This window comes from Homo sapiens, chromosome 2 (assembly GCF_000001405.40).
Source record: "Homo sapiens chromosome 2, GRCh38.p14 Primary Assembly".
Lineage (NCBI taxonomy): Eukaryota > Metazoa > Chordata > Mammalia > Primates > Hominidae > Homo > Homo sapiens.
In genome coordinates, this window is record NC_000002.12 from 225,729,589 (window position 1) to 225,756,462 (window position 26,874).

Here is a 26,874-nt window from a genome sequence, read left to right on the forward strand (position 1 = left end):
ATCCACTTTGTTTTTCCCTTTTCCCAAATACCACCACAAAATTCCACTCAAGGCATTTTCCCTTTCATCTCTCTTTCAGTGTTTTAAGTTGGGTATCTATCTCTTATTTCATAAATTTGCAGATTATGTGAAGATGAATTATATAGATATTTTATTCAGATGATGGACTCAAGATCTTATCCAGAAAAACCTACATCTCACAATAGGCAGTAGACCATTTATAACACAATTGAATTAAGTCACTTTAATATCATAGGTGATATTCATCAAAGGATGCTACAATAAACACAATCCAATGCATTCTTATCCATATTTTATAATATATTTAAATAATTAAGTGGATATTTAATAATTGGGAATGGGCTCATGTTATAAAAAACAATTCTTAAAAGTCAGGATTAAATTTAAGAAAATTCAAAGATACATTTCCTCTATAAGGAGACTGAGATAAAAATCACTATTACTGGGAACTAGAAGTTTAATTTTTCACAGACATTACTTGGTTGTGCTGAGATTTGTGGGTTGTCAAAACAAAGATGCTGCCTGCAGACACCTGAGAATAAATGCTTCCTTGAAGTCACTGGATACGCTTTTCATAATGTCATTTATACTTGACTCTTAGAACATTAAAAAGTGTAAATCATTCTTCAGAAACTAAATGAGGTAGCTGTGGCAAAAATTCAGTTTTGGCTGTGCTTTTGGCAGATTTCTGGGGCAGGTCTCTACCTGGCCTCAGGAAGAGGATTACTGTCACTTGAAGAGCACTTGAAGTAGCTCCTTGCCGAGATCACCATGATCTTCAATGGATTTATAACATGATTGGATTGTAGGCGTGCTGGAAAAATGCCCTGCCATTATACTCTCTGAATCACCCTTAGTTTATAAGGAAAATAAACTCTAATTTATGCTAAGGAAAAAAATTCAAATATGCATATAACTCTAGTATTTCTTTCTTCAATAAATTTATTGAATATCCACTAGGTGCTAAAGAAGCTACCTGAAAGATTAATAGGATACAATTATACAAGCAACTAGCAACTTAGTGAATGGGATAAATATATCTGCTTGCAATGATGATATATTGCAACATGAATATTGTAGAGCACCAAAACTCAACTTGAGAGAAAACGTGAGATAAACATTTCTGTAGAAGATCAGTTGAGTCTTAAAAAAAAATTAGGAGGGTTTAGTAGTTCAAGGCAGAGTGGAGAAACACAGAACATTTTATGCGAAGGGGCACAGAAGTGAAAGCACAGATCGTGGTGTGGTGTTTCAACAGTGAAGTTTAGGCATTGTTGACAGTTCATGGCAGAAAATGAGTATTCAGAGGCAGATTAAGACAGTGATATGAAAAGCTTTGCTAGGAAGCTTGACTTTTCAAAAATTCACCTTGCCTTTTCTGTATGCTTGACACTAAGAAGTTAGAAAGGTACACCTCATGTTCCCCTGCCCTCCGCAACAAAAACGAGTGTACCCTTCACATGTCGAGCACCAAAGACTACAGAGAATGGGTCTTTACTTCAGGTGTGGACTGGACAGAGTTTGCTTTGGGGAGGGAGTTGGGAATACCTCATAGATCATTTCTTGTTTTCTTCATTCACTGCCCAAGGCAGGCCCTAATTTTCCATTCTCTAGTGCTACCCTCAAGATGGTCTGCCTTTTCTATGTGGTCCTTTCATCCCCGTCTCTATCCCTGGTCTGACCTGGGATGTTCTCCACCCTGTAGCCTAGGATCTCTGCAAAAAGAAGAAAAAAGATAAAGACATACCAATTTACTGTGTTTCCTCGATTTCAAACATCTTTTACCTAGCCAAGAGTGGCTGGTTTGGAGAAAAAGTAAGAAAATTTTGCTTAAAGAATCTGTCTCCTGGCCGGGAGCGGTGGCTCACTCCTGTAATCCCAGCATTTTGGGAGGCTGAGGCGGACGGATCACGATGTCAAGAGATCGAGACCATCCTGGCTAACACGGTGAAACCCCGTCTCTACTAAAAATAGAAAACTCAGCTGGGCGTGGTGGTGTGCATCTCTAGTTCCAGCTACTCGGGAGGCTGAGGCAGGAGACTGGCGTGAACCTGGGAGGCGGAGGTTGCAGTGAGCCGAGATCGCGCCACTGCACTCCAGCCTGGGCGACAGAGTGAGACTCCATCAAAAAAAAAAAAAAAAAAAAAAAAAAATCTGTCTCCTTCTCCTACATTACCTGCTGTTAAAAGCAATATAAAATAGTCCCTTCTGTTATTTGGGAACTCCTCTGGTTAAGCCATGAAAGAAGTACGTACTTTGCCCTCAGAGCATTTTGCTGGACATGAGTGAAAAAGCTTTAAACCAGTATGAGCCATTGAAGGGTTTAAGCAGAAGAATGAAGAAGACTTGCTATCTGGATTGTTTTGACAGGTGTTTGGCAGCACGTGGATGATACATTGAGAAGGACAACCCTGAAGTCAGGGATAACAAAACGCAGCAATTTTCATCATGGCAGGAAACTCTCCTTTGGGAAAGGGGTGAGCTGTCAGAATATCGAGGGGATGAGTGTGGCTTTAAAAAAAAACAGTCATTTTACTTATTGTTTTCATTCAACAAACTGTGTGAAAATTAACCTAACAAGATCTCATTTACTTTTGGTGATGCACTGTATTCAAAGATAGAGGTAGGAGAGACATGATTAGAAAGATCTTCAGAAAGTTAATATGGGAGGCTGTAGGGCATTCAGATAGGAAAATGAAAGAGGCATTTGGATGTGTAGTCCTGAAGCTTAGAAAAGGAAGCTGTGGTTTAAATTTAACTGGTCAATAGTTAATCTCATGAGATCGTGTATCCAGGGTAGATGGGGATACTGGGAGAAAAATGAGAAGGCAAGCTTGATTGGTGACATAAAGATAAGGAAAAAAAAAAACACACACACACACATCAGAGAAGAAGGAAAAGAGGCATCAAGAAAAGTCTTCAGTACTCAACAAGGGTTCTAAAACTACTTCCTGCCCAGAGCAATTTTTGAGATTCATTCTAGACTCCATATCTAGGTACTGCATTATGACTTGGGTTCTCTCCTTCAACAACAAGAATGGATTGAATTATTTCCATGGGCGGGGAGTATATACTGTACAGGATATTGATTGGTGTCTTTCTCCTGACTTAGTAATCTAGACAATGGCTTATGTTATGTCCATAAGAGTGAAGGTTCAACTATCATATACCATATATAGTAAATATGTATATATGTTATAGATATATATGTCCATATATGTATATATATGTATGAGTGTATGTGTATAAATTTCTTGATTGAACTGTGAATTTGCCATAAATCCTACTTGTGATATTCTCCTAAATATAATTTGGATTCCTTTCCAGTACCCATAAGGAAACATTTGAGATTTCAAAGTTCTAAACCATAGAATCTAAGCGTATTAAATGTGCTAATGAGAAGATAAAATAACCATATGACACAGGCATGACTATGAGAGTGATGTGCAAAGCTGCATGAACTAACTCACATCCCTTGGCATAATCCTTTCTCCCTTGACTAAAACACATCCCTTTAGGAATGCTTTCTATTATTTTGTGCAGGGGAAAGTTCTTTCCATCAGATCATATGTGATTTCAAATGAAATATATGAGATACAATAAAACCCAAGCCAACACCATTAAACCCATCTAGAAGGAGTGTTACATCCTGGGTTTGTCATAGGTGTAGTTTAAAATGCCTACAATGATTCAAATCCCTTAATTCTCATTTTAGTTAGTCAATTATGGTGCTGGGACCTCCCAAAATACCCTAGTTGTTAGATATTCCAAGATGGCACAAGAGAATGCCCGGGATATTCTAAGTGTAATATAAACTTGTTGATGTGATTCCCTAATTATGGAAGGGAGGGGTTTCATATTGCTCAATAAGATGGTGCTGCCAGTAAAATTTGCAGAGTGATTAATCAGGACTTTATTTTAAGTTCAGGCAACAAATTTCAACTTGACAAGGTCTGCCTATTCTATTACTTCTCCCTGAATTCTGTTCCTAGGCCTGTGGTCTGAGCATATGACTGTAGAGAAGCCAGTGTCAGATACCCTGTGGTTGTCGGGGAGCATCTCTTTGCAGGGTCTTAACCCTTCCCCCGGCCTCTCTCCTCTGTGAGGTCCTGCCTCTTTTTAATGGGTATCTTGTGTTAGGCACCTCCCTAGTCTGAACCAGAGCTGCCACTCCACGGGAGGAAGGGATGCTTTAGATCTTGATATGAAAAAGGAAAAGGGGGCAAGAACTCACTGTGACCTTATAGCATGACTTTGATGCAAGGGGTCTTAATGGCAATCAGATCTTTACATAGTGAAGATTAACCTCTTGTTTGCATAGTGCCTGTCTCTTGTTAGGTGTTTCCCTGCCTTGCTTTGCACTGCATCATAGAAGAAATGTTTGCTATTGCCTTAGCCTGGATGGAGTGAGGGTCTGTGTTCAGCATAGAACGGGATAAAACCTACCTGCTCTACTACACAATCAGAACAATTACCATTTGTTCTTTGATCCCTGAGGTTTCCTTGGCTTGGTGGGGGATGGGGGTCTACACAAACATTTGCCTGAGACACTTTGAGAAAATACTCTGCTTATTTTATTAGGTATGAAGATCAAGGGTATATTGATCATCAAACAATTTAAACCCTTTGGTTTAGCAAATATGGTTTTTGTTTCTACACTAGCGTGTTTATACATATATTCCTCTATGCAAATGTATGCTAATATATATACATGCATATATATGTGTGCTTTATATATAAGTGAATATGTGTATGTATGTATGTACATGTATACCTACCTATTTATCTATCTACCATGCAAAGATAGGTCCTGAAGTTTGGGACCTATCTTTGCATGATGGATAGATAAATAGATAGGTACACATGTACATACATACATACATACATACACATACTCGCAGAGTGAAATTGGTCTGTATAGTTATGTAGTGGTAGCAAGGAAAGTCAGGAGTAACTCATAAACTGGTATGAGGAGAAGAGTGAGCCAGAGAAGGACTCTTGGGGGAAAGGAAGAAACCTAGACCAAGATAGGATATCAGAGATTGAGGAAAAAGATGGTTCATGAGAATTTCTCTGCAATGGAATTGGTCAATATAGTTAATTCATTTTGATATCAAATATTCACAATTTGCTTCTTGTTTTGTGCTGAGGCACAGCAACAATTTTCACCACCTCCAACTTTTATTGAGAAGTTTCGCCTGCACTAGCTGCATGAAGAAGATGCCAGCTGGAGCCCAACAGCAGGGAAGACTCAACCAGCAGTGGTGGAGTGGGCAGCAGGTACTCCCTGAGGGTGGAAGGTGGGCCGGATGGAGGCTGGGTACTGCCTCACATGTGAAGGGTCACCCATGTGGCAGATCCAGGCCAGTTAGCCCAATGGTTCTCCACAGGGTATGATTTTGTCCCCCAGGGGACCTCTGGCAATGTCTTGAGACATTTTGGTTGTCTTAATGGAGGACAGGACAACTGGCATCTGGAGGAAGAGGCCAGAGATGTTACTAAACATTCTATAACACACAAGTCAGGCTCCACAACAGAGTTATCCACCTCCAATGTCAATAGCGCTGAGGTTAAGAAACCCTAGGTTAGACATACACATTTTCAATTATAGCAGGATGCAATTTAAATTCCTGGCATTGAACATAGAACTTTAGAAAATGTCCCTTCTCCATGTTCTAAAAGATTCTACATCCTGTGGTTTGAGGAACTCCCCCATCTTTTTTTTTTCCCACTCAGCCCTCCCTTTCTAAACTTCACCGCCCCACTCCACACCTCAAAGAGTGAAGGGGCTAGCTGACATATAACTAAAGCTCTGAAGTGGAAAGAAGGCAATATTTCAGATTGCAAAAAAGGACTTGAGATTAATATTATTAATGAACAATAGTTAAATAGTCTAGCACTTTTGTCAGAGACATATTGTGTGGCTTTGATCTTTTTATATACTTCATGAGTTCTTGATCCAAGTTCTCACCTTGCTTTCCATACATGGGTCTTTATGCAGGATTCATTCCCAGGGGAAGTAGATCTCTGGAGGGCAGAATTCACAGGTCAGGGAGTAGTGATCGTCATGAGCTAAACAGTAAAAGTTCCCTTCGTCTTTCCTCCTTTGATGTACACAGCATTTTTGTCACCCTAGTTCCCTGTCAATTTTGTTATTTTGTCATTTTATTCTTTGAAAATTTTAAAGGTTAAAGCTTATGTTAAAGAACATGAAGTGCATGTTATGATTTTAAATTTAAGACTTTAGGAAAATTAGGTCATCCTGAGAGGTCTGCAAAAGAGCAAATCGTTCAGACGTTTGCATCTGCTCATTTTGAAATATACACACACACAATCTGATACCTTCTCCTTGACAAGTGATGTTCCAAATCAGCAGAAATTCTGCCAAGTAATTCATGGGACAGAGCAGAAGGAGAATATGAGTCATTAAAATATAGGCATAAACTTTAGTCAGACAAACTGATGGGATTGCTGCCAAAGAAAAAAATCTTGCAGTTGGGCCACCCTCGTAGATTTCTCCAACAAACTCAGACAGATAGTGCTGTGTTTAGTGACTAGATTCTATGGCTCTGAATTATAGCACCTATCATTTCATTGTTTCAGAGGAGAACTATTTGAGTGAAAATATTATTTCAATGCAAATAATAGAAGGATAAAGAAAGTGGCACTCATTTCTCTGAAAGTTTTTACCTTGTGTACTGGAAATAAGAAAAGGAGGCATTGAATCTACTTGGGAATCTGAGTCGAGATTCTTAAATCAGGATTTTTAAGCTTTATCATCCATAAAAACCACCTAGACCACATATTAAAGGTGCATATTCCTCCTATGGATTCTGATACAACAGGCATTTTTCACAGGCTCTAAAGGGGTTAATGGTATGTGGATTCCACTTTATAAAAAGGCTGTCAAGTAGGCCAAGGCTGTTGGGCATTGGGAAAATAAGTGGGCATATGATAAAGGCTCAATAAATATTTGTTGAATGAATTCTCTCTAGGTCTTAGAAACATATTATTTTTATTTTTCTTTCATGTGAGCAGATTGCCAACAGGCTTATTTGGGTTTATATTGTTTCAGAGAAACTCAAATTTTCCCCATTTATTTATTGTCTGCTTGTGTTATATGAATTTTAGTTGCTGCTGGCAGAAAACTCAAGTTACATTAACTCTCCCCTTTCTAGTAATTTGGTGATCTGGGGCACTTCTTTTGATCTCCTTTGGCCTTTAAAATTTTAACCTCCTTTGACCTTTAAAGTTTTAAAATTTCTAATCTGGGAAGGTTAATAATTACTTTTCAAAATATCATATAGCACTGAAAAGAAAAAAAAGTACATGAAAAAATGCAGTATGAAGTTCTATACCAATGTTATTTGTTTTGTGTTTTTTAGAAATAAATTGTAAACTGGAACTCAGAATTAAATAATAATAGCAGTGGGGATGAAGTCCTTCTAATCCTTTACTCTAGGAAAATGTTTTCCTTAATGACTGGGAGACAGCTGGGTTCAAAGTGAATGCAAGTTAAATGTCAGTCAATGAGTTGAAGTTGTTCCTTTCCCACCTCATTTTGCTTTGTTGTTTCAAGAATCAGCATTACTGAGGCATTGGTTACTTTCATGTTAGCTCAACTCTAAAGATAGAGGTTGTGCAGGCTCTACTGAGGTCAGTTAACCTCTAACAAGAGAATGGACGGTTTGTTGGATGGAAAAGGCTTGTTAAGACAGTCAGACCACTTCTGAGCCTCCCTATCCCAAAAAGCCCCTATTACAATGCATGCATGTTCACTCACACACACAGGTACACACACACACACACACACACACTCCTCTGTAGCAACATTCCTTTAAATTCTTACCTTATAAAAGATAAGTCAGATGTGCTACTCCAACCTCCCCTCTAACTATATATATGCTATATATGCTGAAAGATAGTTTTTTAAGAGTGTTTCTGAGCAATTAAATCTTGGGAGTGGGGAAGGAAGTGAGGGAAACTAATTCCAAAGCTTTCTTTGTCTTTTCTTTCTGATAAAAGAGGTATAAACATTTCTGGGAAATGAATCATCCTGTCAATGCATGAGAAATGCAAATGCTTCCCTATTTAAACCCAACGTATTAAAATAAAATTAAAGAAGAGGAAGAAAGTATGGCTGTAGAGAAAATGTGGTGGGAATTAATCATACTGGCACAAGTTAGCCATACATTGCACAAAACAAGGCAGATTCCAGGGCAGGTGCTGCCTAGCCTGAAGGGCATCATGACCCACCAGGATCTGGCTCAGCTCAGCCTGTGGTTATTTTCTGTATTAGTCAAGATTTCTTGCAGTCCCAAGCATCAGAAGCACCACTTGAATTAGCTGAGGAAAAGAGAGGATTGCACTGGAAGTTGTCTCCCTGAACATAGGATTCATTCTCATGGATGACCCTTCTCCAAGAGGAAGGGAGCAGGAAAACCACCTCCTAAACCTTGAATCTTTCATCTTCAGTGCCCAAGAGGATACTAGCATGGTAGAGTAGGTCAGATTTGAGATACAGACAAGACCTAAAGTCGCAAGGTCTTGGTGTGTGTGATGGTGAGCACGTGTGTGTGTGTGTGTGCGCGCGTGTGCGTTTGTGTGTCTGTGTGTGTGTCCAGGACAGCAATCTGTGGTGGACACAATGATGTGACCCACTGTCCAGATCCCTCTTCAGGAATGAAAGACTCCTATTCAACTCCTGAGAGCGTTGCTGCCGCCCTCTAATGTAGCCCTTTCTAGAGATTTCTCCCACTGGAGAGACTCACCTCTCCCAAGGTCAAACTTGCTTCCTAGCAAACTAGGCATCTGGTGATTGATTGACAGGAACACAGAAAAGCCTGCTCTTCCCTCTCCAACCTAGGGAAGCTCTGAAAGGTCCCTCTGGCCACTCCTGCTCCCTGCCTGTCCACGGGTGTTGAATCCCAGATAACACCCTAACAAAGCTCTGGTCCAGTGACATCTATCTTTTCCTGGGAAAAGCCACCCAGTGACAACTGAGAAGGAAGACAGAACACAATTCTGTAGATCACTAACCTTTAAGATGCAAAAAGAGGAAAGATATATGCTTATGAAAACAGAGAATCGAGAAGGAGAAGACTGGTTCAGAGAGAGCAGTATTATAAGACAGGGTAGTTTCTACCTGATATGCTCTATTGATTTATTTAGGTGAGTATATTGGCTTAGAGTTAGAGAAGAGCATTTGGTGTAGGGTTTTTGAGGAGCATAGTCAAAGTTTAATGGAATCAAGGGGGCTAATCACTGGAATAAGATAAAAGACTGACAAATGGTGTTGAGGATCCAGATGAGACAGAAAAATCTGATGTATCAGCACAAAACTGTGCAATAATATAATTTACTCCTGCATCACTCAGTTTTCAAGACATAGGAGTGAAGAGGATAACTGAAGGAATGATACATATGTGTGGATTTATTTTAAGGGAGGTGGAGTGGTCACATAAAAATCAGAGGCCAAGAGATTTAAGGCAGTAATTAATATAGAAAATATATATCACATACGTGTGTATATATAGATCATTGTTGATTCTTCTACATCAAGGATATTCACATTATTCATATTTTATCCCCAAGCAATAATTAGAAGGAACTTTGCCACATTTTCTTGACTGTTTTAAGAAGGTATTCATTTGCAATAACGTTTAGATGATTATTAATATAATAATGTTATAATTATGAAGCTATCATTTCATTTGCTTTGCTCTGTGTAAACAGTGATAAATTAAAACACACACAATATAGGTATACAACTATATAAGCAATTAAAATAGAAGGTAGGGATTGAGTCTTCTTTATTGATTGGGAAGACAGAGATTTGCAGCCCATGAAATGTGAAAAATATGCTTTAAATTTACTTTCTGTTGACATGATTTCACTTCCCTTTCTAATAATGCAAGTCATCCTTGGGGTTGGAGGATAGAGAATGAGAAGGGTTAGAGAATAACTGGACTCCTATCTTTGGCTTTCCTAGAAGATTGGTGGGGAATAGTCTTCTTACCTTAGGCCGCTAGGCTTGATCTGCCTTGCGATTCTTGCAAGCAGAGCCCTGATGAAATGCAAGGGTAGCTACCTGCAATAAGACAAATAGATGATGAGAACAGAAGACAAGGGAAACCCACGAGGTTCAGATAAAGTGTACAGTTCCCCTCACCCCTACCACCTTGTGCCTCATGTAACACCAACCACAGTCTTCTATCAACTTTCCTACTTGTTTACCAGTCTGTCTCTACCATTAGTGTAGAAGCTCCTTAGGGCAAGATCTGTGTGTCATTTGTCTTTGTGTCTCCAGAACCTGGTCTAGATCGTGGCTTTTGATGTGTTGTACAAGAAATATAGGCTGAAGGAAGGAACTCAACAGATAAATTTGGCAATTATTTTATAGATGTTGAACTAAAATGTCTCAAAACGTAATCATACTGGAGTAAAATTGCTTATTTTTAAGTTATCAACATTTGTAGTAATTCATTACAGAAAGACTTCACATCCCTGCAATCCAGGGTGAGGAATGAGTTGTATCCTTCCTGCCTGGCACAATGTTTGGTGTTTAGCTCAGCAGAAGGTTATTGCAGCTCCACTCCTTCTTCCATATGCTGGGAAAGCTCCACGCAGTTCATTAGGAAGGGTGGGATGGATCAATGCCAGTATTTAGATTCCCAAACTGTTCTCAATTAGGAAATGACTTCTGTGTTTCCCCCATTCAGGTGCTTTTGATTAGCAAGAAGCACAAATACGCAGTCATACAGATATGTGCTCCCACAGTCAGAACCTACAAAAGCGAATCAAGTGCTTATCTGGCTTACATTTCTATACATTCCTTGACACTCACAGATGCTTCTTGAACCTGGCTGGCCTATCCTTGTGCATGGCTGCCAGGCTCCACAAGGTTAACTAAGGAACGCCCAAGGTTGTTTTCATTTTTATACTGGGGTCATGGCCTATAAGATAGAGACATTCTGCTGAACAGCTATGTGACCTCACTAAGCCTCGGCCTTGCTGTCCCTGGAGTTGCTTTTAGATTGTAGGTGGGAATATTTTCCACCACTAACTAATGTTTATGGATCAATTCTAGGTCTTCAGAAGGGAAAGATATAGATAGAAGATAGATAGATAGATGCATATATATATAAATAGAAAATAGTATCCACAATTGACCCCACGTTGCCCATTGCATTTGGATGCTGAGTTAAGATAAGAGCCTCTGAGAACAATGTGGTGGTGGAGAGGCTTCTCTTGTCCTTTTATCTTCAATATTTCCCCCCTCCGCAGCCAGACAGACTTTCTAAGGTCTGCTCAGCTGATCAGTTTACTCTGCTGCTAAAAGGGCAAGGGCTTCCCATGACTTTTCACATGAAAATTGAAATTCCTGACGTCTTCCACAGGCCCCAGCCTCCCTCCATGGCCCCACCTCACGTCAGCCCCACTGAGTCTAGCCCTAGCCCTCAAACCTGCTATTCTTTTTACATGCTCTTCCCTTTATCGGCTTCCCTCGTCCAGATTTCCAGATGACATCATCTCCTCCTAGCACGGGCTTTAATCTCATCATATAATTCTCCTTTAGAGCATTTTACCCAGGTGTAATTTTTATTAGAATTCTGATTGTTTAATACATATCAAGACACTGCCACAGGCAAGACCCATGCCCGGTTCATTCTGCACTGCACTCCAGTGTCCAGTCCTGTGCCTGACACATCAGTAATGGGTGTGCTGAGCTCAGAAAATGGCCAAGAAAAGCTCCCTCATGCCCACCCTGTGTCTACATATGTGCTTTGGCTGTGCCTTTAACTGCTACCCATCGTTTCTACTAAGCCAAATAGATTTTGAGACAGAGTCTTGCTCTGTCGCCCACACTGGAGGGCTGCAGTGTGATCTCAACTCACTACAACCTCTGCCTCCCGGGCTCAAGCAATTCTCCCATCTCAGCCTCCCAAATAGCTAACATAACAGGCATGCACCATCATGCCCAGCTAATTTTTGTGTTTTTTTTTGTACAGACGAGGTTTTGCCGTGTTGCCCAGGCTGGTCTTGAACTCCTGGGCTCAAGCGATCTGCCCACTTTGGCCTCCCAAAGTGCTGGGACTACAGGTGTCAGCCACCGTGTCTGGCCCAAATAGTCTTTCTTGGAAGAAAATTTGATTATTGTATTTTAAGAAAATCAGTCATGATGATCAGTTATTATTTAAGATCAGTTAAAGAATATGCTATGCCTAAATAATGTACAAATTTACAACCTGGCCCAAAAATGAGTGCCTAGTTTCTTCTGCTACCAAAGCACATGGCATATTTTCTTGATTTGAACTTACTATTCCTGCATAATGGGTGCTGAATAAAATGTGTTACCTATATCAATATCAATATATGCCTTTTTCAGCTTCATTCAGCCAGTATGCCAATAACTATTGCAATAATTATACCAATATACCCTAATCATTAATGTTCTTTAAAAAATCCTGCTTCAATTGTTTTATATTTCCCAGGCAATGCAATCTCTATTACCTCATTCACAGTCATCTGTAAAATAAATACCTTCTATCACTAGGTCCAGTAGATGCAAAACCCTAGAAAAGTTTAAACAAATATTTTGATTTTGTTTACGTATGTGCCACCAGCTGCTTAAGAAAATCTGCACTTGAAATAAACAGAAATTACAGAAGAAATCCATATTGTTAACACCTGGATTTAAACACTCAACAAAAAGCCAGAAAGTAAACACTGCAATATTAAATACAATCAGCTGGGAGGAACCTACTCCCCAGTGGATCTGAGAAATTGTTTAATTTCACATAAAAGGGTCTCTGAATAAGTGGTAGGCAAAGGGAACAGAGTACATGGAAAGGGTAGGCTCCCTGTTGTGGAAATAGCCATCTTCTTTCATCAGAGTGGGTGTTGGTGGATTGTTGGAAAGGTTGGAACTCTCCAAATACACAGAGCTTCTCCTCTGACTACACCCTTCCCAGCTTATAAAGAGGACCATTTGACCACACATTCACTTTCCATTAGCAGGAAGCCCACTTACTAAGTAAAGCCAGCAGCTTAATTCAGATAAACACTTACTGAGAGAGCAGTGAGCGCTGTGCTAAGTATCAGGAATACAGAGATTAGTAAAAGGAGTTACTTCCTACAGGGATCTACAATTTAGTGAGGGCTGAAATACCTGTGAAGGATTGTATAATATTCATAATACATGCTGGAATAGCGGTTAGTGCTAGGACTAGCAGTGGCTTAAAGTAGGAAATAATGGACTCTTGCAGGCTTGGAAAAGACTTCTTAGAAGAAATAAGGGCCCATTTGAGTCTTGGAGAATGCCTAGGAGTTTCTCCAATATTTAGCAGAGGAATGATAAGCTGGCAAATATGAAAGGGGTTGCAAATTCACATTTCAGGCATAGAAAACATCATTGCAAAAACAAAGAGGGGTTCCCAGTATTTCCCTGGAGTCTGAGCTTGCACGCAGGGCCAACTGCTATGTGTGTTGATACCTGTATCTGCAGTTGCTGGACCCAACTACACGAGCACATGGCGCCACCTGGGTTATCTCCTCTATTTACACATATGCTCCATTGTCCTGTTGGATTTTACTTCCAAAACACAGAGTCAAATATAAAACTTTTAAGAATTCCAAAATGGTGAGAGTAAAATATTAAACCAAGTGTAGGGTTTTTCTCAGAGCAGGGCTACTGCACAGGTTCAAGCCTATAAAATCAGCCCTGCACTTAGCTCAATGTCAATTAATACATGATCAACAAACTCTCAGTTTTCCCCTCTACCGCCCCTAAATGTAGTGTTAAATAAGCTTGGGATGTGGAAACACATTTGGATGTTGGGGAGGGGAAAGTGGACAGCAGTGGGATGAAGCTGGTATAAGAGACAGAGCCCAGATCAAGCCAAGTTTTATACCGCATGTTGAATTTGGTGTTTACCCTATAGGTCAAGAGGCATCATGGAATGATTTGAGGCAGGGATGTCACAGATGAAATTTGTAGATTAGGAAATCGAATCCTGTGTTCATGTGGTAGATGGATTTGTTGTCTGAAAAATAGGAGAGGGTAAGCCAGGTTTGAGCACTACAGGTGGAGGAATCTTTTATCTCCCCCTGTGGCTGTAGAGATGATTGCTACCAGTTGGTACCTGCCATCTGTTCTAGTTTTGAATGGACATAACCTATTTCTCACACAAGAGTTAAAGTTCTGGGGGTGGTAGTCCTGGTGGTGATGGTGCCTTTTAAATACAAGATGATTTGTATGATATTTCCTGTTAAATCAAGGTTGCCTTGGCTATTTGAGTGATTACATCAAAATCTTGACTCACGTAAGGGTCTTAGTGAGAGGTGACAGGGTGCTGGCAGTCCTCACAGCCCTCGCTCACTCTCGGCGCCTCCTCTGCCTGGGCTCCCACTTTGGCGGCACTTGAGGAGCCCTTCAGCCCACCACTGCACTGTGGGAGCCCCTTTGTGGGCTGGCCAAGGCCGGAGTCGGCTCCCTCAGCTTGCAGCGAGGTGTGGAGGGAGAGGCGCGAGCGGGAACCAGGGCTGCGCGCGGCGCTTGCTGGCTAGCTGGAGTTCCGGGTGGGCGTGGTCTCGGCGGGCCCCGCACTCGGAGCAGCCGGCGGGCCGGCCCTGCCGGCTGCGGGCTATGAGGGGCTTAGCACCCGGGCCAGCGGCTGCGGATGGGGTACTGGGTCCCCCAGCAGTGCCGGCCCACCGGCGCTTCGCTCGATTTCTCGCAGGGCCTTAGCTGCCTTCCCGCGGGGCATGGCTCGGGACCTGCAGCCCGCCATGCCTGAGCCTCCTACCCCCTCCATGGGCTCCTGTGCGGCCCCAGCCTCCCCGATGAGCGCCGCCCCCTGCTCCACGGCGCCCAGTCCCATCGACCACCCAAGGGCTGAGAAGTGCGGGTGCACTGCAGGGGACTGGCAGGCAGCTCCACCTGCAGCCCTGGTGCGGGATCCACTGGGTGAAGCCAGCTGGGCTCCTGAGTCTGGTGGAGACGTGGAGAACCTTTATGTCTAGTTCGGGGATTGTAAATACACCAATCGGCACTCTGTATCTAGCTCAAGGTTTGTAAACACACCAATCAGCACCCTATGTCTAGCTCAGGGTTTCTGAATGCACCAATGGACACTCTGTATCCAGCTACTCTGGTGGGGACTGGGAGAACCTTTGTGTGGACACTCTGTCTAGCTAATCTGGTGGGGACTTGGAGAACCTTTGTGTCTAGCTCAGGGATTGTAAACGCACCAATCAGCGCCCTGTCAAAACAGACCACTGGGCTCTACCAATCAGCAGGATGTGGGTGGGGCCAGATAAGAGAATAAAAGCAGGCTGCCCGAGCCTGCAGTGGCAATCTGCTCGGGTCCCCTTCCCCACTGTGGAAGCTTTGTTCTTTCGCTCTTTGCAATAAATCTTGCTGCTGCTCCCTCTTTGGGTCCACACCTGCTTTTATGAGCTGTAACACTCACCACAAAGGTCTGCAGCTTCACTGCTAAAGCCAGCGAGACCACGACCCCGGGGGGGAACGAACAACTCCAGACGTGCCGCCTTAAGAGCTGTAACACTCACCGCGAAGGTCCGCAGCTTCACTCCTGAGCCGGGGAGACCATGAACCCCACCAGAAGGAAGAAACTCTAAACACATCCAAACATCAGAAGGAACAAACTCCGGACACGCCGCCTTTAAGAACCGTATCACTCACTGCGAGGGTCCACGGCTTCATTCTTGAAGTCAGTGAGACCAAGAACCCACCAATTCCGGACACATTTGTATGAATTAAACCAAAATTATGTGTTATCATAAGGTAAATGGATTTAGTCTGGTGGTGTTGTGTATTACATAGGGACTACCAGTGTTCACCAATATTCTTGAATGAAGTTAATTATTATACCTGAATGTGATCCTCACAAAGGAACGATATTTTTAAAACCACTGTATTTAGTCATAAGTGCATTATAAATCAATCAATGTATGTTCATTGATAAGGGAAGTTTTATGATTCTATTTGTAGAGAAGAGGTAATGTTTATATTTTGAATACTTCAGGTAGCTGTCTTTTTTGAATAAGATTTGTGATACCACAGTCACGATGGATTGGGGCGTCTAAAATTAACATAATGAAGTGATAGTTTTCAGTCCCAGCATTAGATTCACCTGGGGAGTGTTTACATTTTACCCTTGCCTGAGTTCCTCCACAACTGAGATAGAATCTGTATGGGTAGGACTTGAGTATCTGAATTTTCCACAAGCTTTGTTGACTTATACATATTTTAACTACAGTAAAATCTCATTTGAAAGTGATTTCTATCCCTATAGTTGTGCCTTTTCCAGAATATCATGTAAATGGAATCAGAGACCATTAGTCTTTTTTGCCTGGTTTCCACTTAGCATATTTCTTTTGAGATTCATCATATTGCGGGTGTCAGAAGACCATTCCTTTAAACTGTATTGAGAATATTGAGCAGTATTGTATAGTGTGATCATACCACAGGTTGGTGCAACCCTCTGAACTCTTTAAAAACTTCTGATAGCATAGCAAGGGTTGAGAACCACTACTGTAAAGGAACTTACAAATGAATATTACTTTATATTTTATCAAATACCTATAGAGGACTCAGTCGTTGTACTTGCACTGATTCATTTAATGGTCTATGTGGAAGAAGTTAGAATTATCACACACTAGTTTATAGACCATGCTATCTAGAACACATAATAACTTTGATCATATCTCTTTAACAATTATTTTTATTTGACATTGCCTAAAACATTTTCCATGGCAGAGTGAATTCATACCACACATATCCAACTATCTCTTATGATCAGTGGGGCCTGAAAATGCTGGTGGAAGATTTATTTAAAAAAAAAAAAACATATTCCCGATCATCTTCTCCTACCCATAAATGGAAAATTCTTGCCTATACAAGACTAGTGTCAAGACCCAAAATTATTATTATTATTATTTTTGAGATGGAAGCCTTGCTCTGTAGCCCAGGCTAGAGTGCAGTGGCGTGATCTCGGCTCACTGCAACTTCCGCCTCCTAGGTTCAAGCAATTCTCCTGCGTTAGCCTCCTGAGTAGCTGGGATTACAGGCACATGCCACCAAGCCTGGCTAATTTTTATATTTTTAGTAGATACAGGGTTTCACCATGTTGGTCAAGCTGGTCTCGAACTCCTGACCTTGTGATCTGCCCGCTTCAGCCTCCCAAAGTGCTGGGATTACAGGTGTGGGAGCCACTGCACCCGGCCCACAATTATTAAACTATCTAACATATACATACTTCTGACCAAAAGCATTGGATAGCATTATGAAGATACTTCAGAATCCAAGTTTATAAATTATGGTTAAGAACAATGTATAAGGGCACAGCCACTTCCTTCATGAAAGCTTGGTGTAAGGATGTATCTGTGCCTTAGCCATCCTTTAAAGGAAAAACGCAGAAGTAATAGCATCAGAAATATCCTGGAAACTTCAATATAACAGTGAACATGCATACAATTGTCTCTCCATATCTATGAATTTCACATCCAAAAATTCAATAAATCTTACACTGAAAATATTCAGAAAAATAAATACTACAAACTAAAAAAAAGATACAACTATCTACATAGCATTTACATTATACTCAGTATTATAAGTTATCTAGGGATGATTTAAGATATACAGGAAGATATACATGAGGGTGGTCCTTGAACCAATGGTTCCTGGATACTGAGTGACGACTATGGGTGACAGTGCTTCTTGGTTAAATGTGAGTTTCTGGGACAGTTTGTGAATTTCTGTGATGTAATAGATTATAGTGATGTTGGATACATAGAGCAACCGTGAGTCACAAGGAGATGGCTGCAGACCCTGAAGACTCTACGGAGGCTTACACAAGAGACATGCGGCTTGAGAACAAAGGCTTATAGAAATTAAAACACATATTAAGGGTGTTTCTCTAATGCAAATCAAAACCACAATGAGATACCATCTCACACCAGTTAGAATGGCAATCATTAAAAAGTCAGGAAACAACAGGTGCTGGAGAGGATGTGGAGAAATAGGAACACTTTTACACTGTTGGTGGGACTGTAAACTAGTTCAACCCTTGTGGAAGTCAGTGTGGCGATTCCTCAGGGATCTAGAACTAGAAATACCATTTGACCCAGCCATCCCATTACTGGGTATATACCCAAAGGACTATAAATCATGCTGCTATAAAGACACATGCATACGTATGTTTATCGCGGCACTATTCACAATAGCAAAGACTTGGAACCAACCCAAATGTCCAACAATGATAGACTGGATTAAGAAAATGTGGCACATATACACCATGGAATACTATGCAGCCATAAAAAATGATGAGTTCATGTCCTTTGTAGGGACATGGATGAAATTGGAAATCATCATTCTCAGTAAACTATCACAAGGACAAAAAACCAAACACCGCATGTTCTCACTCATAGGTGGGAATTGAACAATGAGAACCACATGGACACAGGAAGGGGAACATCACACTCTGGGGACTGTTGTGGGGTCGGGGGAGCGGGGAGGGATAGCATTAGGAGATATACCTAATGCTAGATGACGAGTTAGTGGGTGCAGCACACCAGCATGGCACATGTATACATATGTAACTAACCTGCACATTGTGCACATGTACCCTAAAACTTAAAGTATAATAATAATAAAATAAAATTTAAAAAATACAAAAATTTTAAAAGAAGGGTGTTTCTCTGAGTTAAATGAAGCTTCAACACCATTCTTTGAAAAGAATAAAGTGCATAAGGTTATGTGATGCTGAGACAAAATCAAGAACAATTTAAATTGTGAGTAACTTTCATTGCTGTTCCATGTTACCACCTCTCTCCACCCTGAAAATGCTTCCATTGAGAACTGACCTTTCTGGAGATGACACTATTCATGACTATTGGAGTCTTTTGGCTTCAGTAAATAAAGTTCCCTGGAATTTCAAGAGTTTCCCTTGTGTGCCCTAGAAAAAAAAAAAATCATTCTTTTTCAGAATTGTTATGACTTGGCTTTGCTTTTTCTCTTAGAAAGTTAATGGGCAATGCTTATCAAACTTGCATTGTTCAACAAGGTTAGGGAGATTTATTTCTCACTCTTCTGAAGGTCACTCCATTCATCACATTGCAAAAGTTCTTTCTTTTGGCAACCAAAGGATAATGGAGCGTTGATTTCCCTGGGGATTTTTAGTCTGTTCCCCCAACATGTATGCACACACAGACGTATTACTGAAGCAATCCCTAGTTTCTAAGGATGTACCAAATCTAGCAGAGACAGCAATGAGGTAATTCTAAAGTGAATGATAGCTTTGTCATCTGAAAAACAGACAAATGGAAACAACTTAAAAAAGAATTAACACAGGAATAAAAGATAACCTTAATAAAATGATTTCTCAAAAGAAGACATACATGTGGCCAAAAAGCATATGAAAAATTCTCAACACCACTAATAATTAGAGAAATGCAAATCAAAACCACAATGAGATACCATCTCACACTAGTCAGAATGGCTATCATTAAAAGGTCAAGAAATAATAGATGCTGGCGAGGTTACATAGAAAAAGGAACGCTTATACACTGCTGGTAGGAGTGTAAATTAGTTCAGCCATTGTGGAAAGCAGTTTGGAGATTCTCAAAGAACTTAAAACAGAACTGTCATTCAACCTAGCAATCCTGTTACTGGATGTATACCCAAAGGAATATAAATCGTTCTACCATAAAGACACATGCATGCATATGTTCATGACAGCATGATTCACCATAGAAAAGACATGGAATCAACCTAAATGCCTATCAATGATAAACTGGATTTAAAAAATATGGTACATATACACCATGGAATTCTATGCATCCATAAAAAAGAATAAAATCATGTCCTTTGCAATAACATGAATGGAGCAGGAGGCTATTATTCTAAGTGAATTAATAAAGGAACAGAAAATCAAATATCACGTTTTCATTTATAAGTGGGAGCTAAACACTGGGTACACACAAACACAAAGAAGGGAATGATAGACAGTGAGGCCTACTCTGAGGGTGGAGGATGGGAAGAGGGTGAGGATAAAAAAACTATACCTGTAGGGTACTATGCTTATTACCTGTGTGATGAAGTAATCTGTACACCAAACCCCCATGACATGCAATTTACCCATGTAACAAACCTGCTTGTGTACCCCCCTGAACCTAAAATAAAAAGTTGGAAATTAAAAAATAAAACAAAAAACTAAAAGAAATGGAATTGGGAAATTAAGGGTATGTTCTCATTTTCTTGTGAAGAACTTAACATTATTTTAAGATAATATGTAATTAAATAGTTTAAGGCTTGTAGACTGGGTTGAATAGTGTCACCCCGAAATTCATGTCTTTCTTAAAATCTCAGAATATGACCTTATTTGGAAATAGCGTCGTTGCAGATATAATGATAAGATGCAGTCACATTGGAATAGGGTGGGCCTTTAATCCAATATGACTGGTGTTCTTATAAGAAGAGATACAAGGGCATAGAGACACTGACACAGAGAAAAGACAGACACGTGAACACTGGGGCTGAGATTAGTGTGATGCATCCACAAGCCAAGGAACACTTAGGGCTTCTAGAAGCTGAAAGAAGCAAAAGTGGATCTTCCCTCAAAGGCTCAGGAGGTGGCATGGCCCTGCCCATGCCTTGATTTTGGACTTCTAACTTCCAGAACAGTAAGAGAGGACATTTCTGCTTTTTTAAGCCACCAGTTTCTGACACTTTGCTATGAAAGCTATAGCAAAATTCAGCCCACCTCTGGATTTTTGGCAACGTGAGCATTAAGAGCTGACCATTCTATAGACTGGTGGTCTAGGAGGAATTGAGAAAACTTTAGAACCAAAAAAAGGCAACAACACCTCACTTTTACCTGCATATTCATGGCTTCTTCACAGTCTCCTATATCATGAGCTATCAATATGAGGATCCCTTGGGATATGCAAACGGCAGATCTCTGCCCAGACCCAACGTGTTGGTTGGAATATCTCTGGTTAGAAACAAGGAATCTGCATTTTACTAGTTCTTAAGTCATTCTGGTGAATGCTAGAACTTTAGATTCGTGCAGAATAGCTTCTGTTACTATCTTTGAAGAATAATCAAACAAAAACCCATTAATCTATTGAGGGCCAACAAAAGACACAATGCTATCCTCAAGTGTGTAGACAGGGCCAAGTGAAATTTGAATATCAGACAGAATTAGCAGCCACCTAGGACCACACAGTCTCTTATTAGGACATGGAATTTACCAACAGCATACACCCAAGTGACCCTTAATTTTATTCTTGCTCCCCAACCCACACAAGTAATGATAGCAAGTAATTGGTCCTCTTACCTTATGCCAGACCATTGCAGCTGGGACTTGGAAAGGATGGAGGAGAAATAGAGAAACTAGTGAATGTATACCTTGCTACCTACATGGTTTTCTTCCGTATGCTTTTGATAAAATGAAAACTATACACCTTCAAAATAAATTTAAAAATATTACTAAGATCCAATTAAGGGAGATGGAAAAAAGTTTTCTCAAGAGAAATTCCGTTTAACAAGACGTTCTCAATTCCACAAATTGAAAATTACATTTATATTAAGTAAATGAGGCAGATAATTCATTAAAGAATTGGAAATGGAAATTGTAAGTCACTCCTGCTGTATTTTAGATTATCAGTATCCTTATATTTTACAGTGCACATATAATTTATGCAAGTGAGATAACTCATGTGTCCTTCATCTAAATATAGAAGTTTGTTATTATAGTTACAGTTTTTATTTCCTTTACCAATTGTTTTGAATTTTGAAAAATTTAAATTTAAGATGTATAGAAAAGACAACAATGTAATCATTACCTGTGCAGCAGCTACTCTTCAAGAAATTAACAAATGTTAAAATATTTCTCTATAATGTTACTACAAACAAGAAGTATGGAGCATTATAGACAGAACTGGAGGTGTTCCTTATCTGCTTTTTTTTTTTTTTTTTTTTTTAGACAGTCTTGCTCTGTCACCAGGCTGGAGTACAGTGGCGTGATCTTAGCTCACCGCAACCTCTGCCTCCTGGGTTAAAGCAATTCTCCTGCCTCAGCCTCCTGAGTAGTTGGGATTACAGGGATATGCCATCATGCCCAGCTAATGTTTATATTTTTACTAGAGATAGGGTTTCCCCATGTTGTCCATGCTGGTCCTGAACTCCTGATCTCAAGCAATCTGCCCGCCTGGGCCTCCCAAAGTGCTGGGATTACAGGCATGAGCCACCACACCTAGCACTTTATCTACCTCTTGAGTGCATTCCTTTTATTCCCTTTATAGAGGCAAGCACTGCCTTGTCTCCCTACAGTCTCTGTTGTCTTTCTCTCCACCTGTCATCTAGATTTCCATGGATATAGATAGCTATATATGATTTTAGTACATATATTCAAGAGATTGGCCTGAAATTTTCTTTTGTATACAAATCACATAAAATTGTGTAATAATCATTCACTATTTTTTCAATACCTTGATATCAAAGAGTCAGTTCATGGCTCATTTTTATCATTATTCTATATTTTATTATTATTATTATTAAATTTATTACCACTCTCATACCTACTTCTTTCTGTATTAGTGCATGTTAGGCTAAGTTGCTGTAGTGAAGACATCCCCTCAAAATATGCAATTGTAGTAAGATAGAACAATTATTTCAGTTGACCTCTATGAGTTAAGGTTGATCTCAGCACCACCGCTGCCTTTCAGCCCCAATGAAGAGAGTAAGATAGCATGGAGCGCATGCAACTTCCTAGTCACTGAGTCCCATGACCACAGTTAGCTACGGAGGCAGCTTCAATATGGGTCTTCAGCTCAAAATCGTGTCTTTAACTAAAACTAGGAGAGATAAGAAAGATATTTATTAACAACAACAAAAAAATGTAGAGGAGATAATATATTCTGGGGATAGTAATAGCCCCTGCCATAACATATGCCTCTGGCAACCCAAAAACCTGTGTTCTTCTCACGCAAGCACTCACTTACCAAAAGAGAAAATCCTAAAGAGCTCCCTGCCCAAGGACAGAGGTGAATGGACCTGTCCCTTCCCCTGCTCAGTGTACAATAGGAGTAGAAAGACTCATGTTTAATGAAATCAGACTGACCATATGTTATTTTGTTGTCTCCCATTTTCTGGGAGTACAGTTTTGTCACTGCATTGCAAGATAAAGCTGCATAGCTTCTAGGCATCTGGGAACCTCTATGCAAAGATCTGTGGCCCACCTCATCTCTCTCCAGGAGGGTTGAAATCCAGCCGTGACCTATTAAAATCTGTACAGAAGCTGGCTTTGCCCACGTCTCTTCAACTTTAGCTTATGTGTGCACCACTGACTTTAAATCCCTGGTTTTTATCTGACATGTAAAGATCTCCCTTTCTTTTTTAGAGTTCATAGTATATTAAAAATTTAACTCTTACATATATTCTGAATTTTAATATGTTTCAAGTAGTAGGGGTAGTTCCTACTTTAGCCCATATGTCTGGAAGTTTGCTATGTCTTTTTCATGTTTTTTAAAATATTTAGGTGATATAAATTTAATAATCTAGTTTATTTCAGTTTTTCAATCCTTTTTAGCTTCTTGATGATATTTGGATAATATTGAAGATTCCAAATGAAAGGAATGAGAGGTGTTAATTTTGAAAAAAGATAAATATTTTGTATTCTGAATCTTTCATAGCATGTTAATTTTGATAAGTTGAGGCTCCCCACTCAGCTTTTGCTGTTTTGGATGAGGTGGGGATGGCCACAGCTTTCTCGGTGGTGTTTGGTTGAGGGAGAGCAGTTATTTTCTAAAAGTTTTCTGTCTTGCTAAGTTGCCTCTTTTCTGGTTCTTGGCTAGAAAAAGAAGGCTTTTGTTGCGACTTCTTTTTTGTCTGCTCCTGTTAGCATTTCTGGGTTACCTGCTTCTTCCACTTCAAATGGGCAATGTATGAGACAAAAAAAGATCTAGGGATTGTTAAGGATTGTTCCCTATTCTAATACAGCACAGTAGTTGGGAAATTCAGCATTTGTTATTTTACAAATAATGAAAAATGTATATGCTATAGAAATATATACACATATATAAATATATTTGTATGCATATTTATATTATACACAAACTATACATTTATATAAATTGTATATATTATATAAATATAAATTATATAAATATATAAATATAAATTGTATTATACAAATTATAAAATATATAATTACATAAATATTATATAAACATGTATTTTATAATATGTATTTTCCCTTTCTTCAAATTACAATTTAGTCACCAAGAACAGAGCTTTTCAAAAGATGTGGACTTAGCACACTGATATGCTTAGATAAAATGTCCTGGTATTGAACACATTAGTCCTCTTTGTGACTAGGTGGTTGCCTGGTAGTGAATTTGATTACTTCATGCCACGAAATCCTCCTCAGTTTACCCTACTGTGCTAAACAAATTTGTGTGTGTGTGTGCACGATGGTGTGTATTTTTTTTCTCATTACCAGAAACCTAAAAGAATTTCATTTACTGAACACCCTCATCAATACTTGTTATCATCAATATTTTAATTTTAGTTATTCTGGAGCTTGTATGTCAGTATCCCATTATGGTTTCAATTTTCATTTAATTTACCAATGAATTTGACACTTTTTTACATGTTTCTAGGTATTCATTTTTCCTCTTCTTTTGGTGTGCTCATCTTGTTCTAATTGATTTTAGTTGTGACATATACCAGATACAAACATCTCGCTGCTTTAGATATTTTTTTCTTGTTTCTCAATATGCAGTCTCAGATTATTCATTGTAACACTTCTTCTTTACAAATATATGCATTTAAGATCACAAAATTTTTTTATTTACACCATTAGCTATATTACATAAGTTTTGATATATTGTGTTTGCATTAAAATTAAGTTCAAAATATTTGTAATTTTTATTGATTATCCTTTTACTCATGGATTAATTAAAAGTATGTTAATTTCCAATATTTGATTGGTTTTGCTATTTTTGTTTGTTTTATTTCTAACACAACTTATATTGGGATCAAAGAAAATATTTTGCATGATTTCAATCCTTTTGATTTTATTGAGGCTTGTTTTATGGCTCAGAATATGGTCTTTCTCTATATCTAATTAATCCTTGTTCTGGATAGATTGCTATGTTCATTTCTCCATTCATTTATTAAACTCTTTCTCAGGGGATTAAAGATGAAATAATAGGCATAAAACAAATATTTTATAGTTCCACAGGCTGTGAAACATTAGTGGGAAAAGACCATATAAATATAGTCTCATATATATTTGTTATATATATATATGTTACATATATAAAACATATATATTTGTTATATATATGTTTATATACACATTTGTTTATATATTTGTTATATAAACATATATGTAACATATAAAAGATGTATATTTGTTATATATAATATACATATATACATGTAAGACTATATAGATATATGTATATACATACATGTAAGACTATATAGATACATGTGTATATATAAATACATGTAAGACTATATATATAGACTATAAAGACTATATAGATATAGATAAAGACTGTAGATATAGATAAAGACTATATATAGACTAGATATATAGACTATATATAGATTATAGATAAAGACTATATATATAGTCTTATGTCATATGTATATATGTCATATATAAGTATATATAAAAGTATATATGTAAGTCTTATATATATGTCATATATACATGTCACATGTATATATGACATATATAGTCTTACATGTATATATATATATATATACATGTGTATATATATATTTAGGTAACATAAATTTTAATAATGTGGTGTATTTCAGTTCTTCAATGTTTTATATATATATATATATATATATATATATATATATATATATATATATGGTCTTCAAACCCAAATTCTGTCCTTATCTTAAGGACATTAATGTACATTAGTTTCCCATTGTATTTATTTTGCTATCTGTCATGTAGACCACTTCATTCTTTTCTATAGTACAAAAAATTAGAACAGTTGTTATTTATCATCACAGTCTTACAAATGATGAAAGACAGATTCAGAGACTTCTCCAAGGAGTATAAATCCTACCTTCCTATGTCACACAGTTGATGACAAGATGAAATGAAACACCATAGGTAAGTTTGCTTTGTACAATTGCAGGCCCTGTGCGTATGGATGTCGTGCGGTGCCCTCGCAAGTACTTCTTAAAAAGATGTAGCTCAGGTGCTGTTTAAAACTATAATGCTCATTACCAATTATCACTCCTTTTGACATTAACTTTAATATGCAGACACACTGATCCTTACTGACAACCCTTTTTCCAAACATGGGATTGCTTTTTGAGAATTTTAAAGCCTAATTGAAAATCAGCTATTTACATGGTCTATTTTCCCAAAGGTTTTGAAAAGTTCATGTTTGGGTTTTCAGCCTACTTTTGCCACGAATTTTCCTCCATTCTTTGTAGAGGAAGAAACAAAGGACCCCAAAGCACCCCATGAGGCAGTATAATAAGAAGGCCTAGAACTTGGATGCAAAGGGCCTCTTTGGGTGGAGACTTCACCGTGGTTGTATGCTTTAATCTTGACCTACACTTCCTCTTCTTTTTAAAAATAAACTCTAAGCATTGTTCCTTGGATATAATTGTAAATGATCTTTCCAGAAAAAGAACAAATCTGTTTTTAAAGAACCTGGTAAATACTAGTGAAACCTGCATGATTGAGGGTTGGTCAAAATCTAAGTGGCTAGAACCGGAAATTCCACAAGACCATGACATTCTTTCATTGCAGCCAAGTGGCCCACACTGAGGGAAGATTCCTT

General features: G+C 38.9%; 1 long non-coding RNA gene across 4 annotated transcripts in view; it reads right to left on the reverse strand.

The window, feature by feature from the left end:
- Positions 1–26,874, reverse strand: part of LOC105373914 (uncharacterized) — a 211,043-nt gene that overhangs the window by 49,040 nt on the left and 135,129 nt on the right. For 2 of the 4 annotated variants that reach the window (XR_007088108.1, XR_007088109.1), the window contains exon 3: positions 10,040–10,111. This is a non-coding gene — a long non-coding RNA (uncharacterized LOC105373914). Of the gene's footprint in view, positions 1–5,992; positions 6,049–10,039; positions 10,112–18,909; positions 19,002–26,874 lie in introns of all 4 variants that reach the window. The other 2 variants (XR_007088111.1, XR_007088110.1) reach the window with 2 other exon arrangements.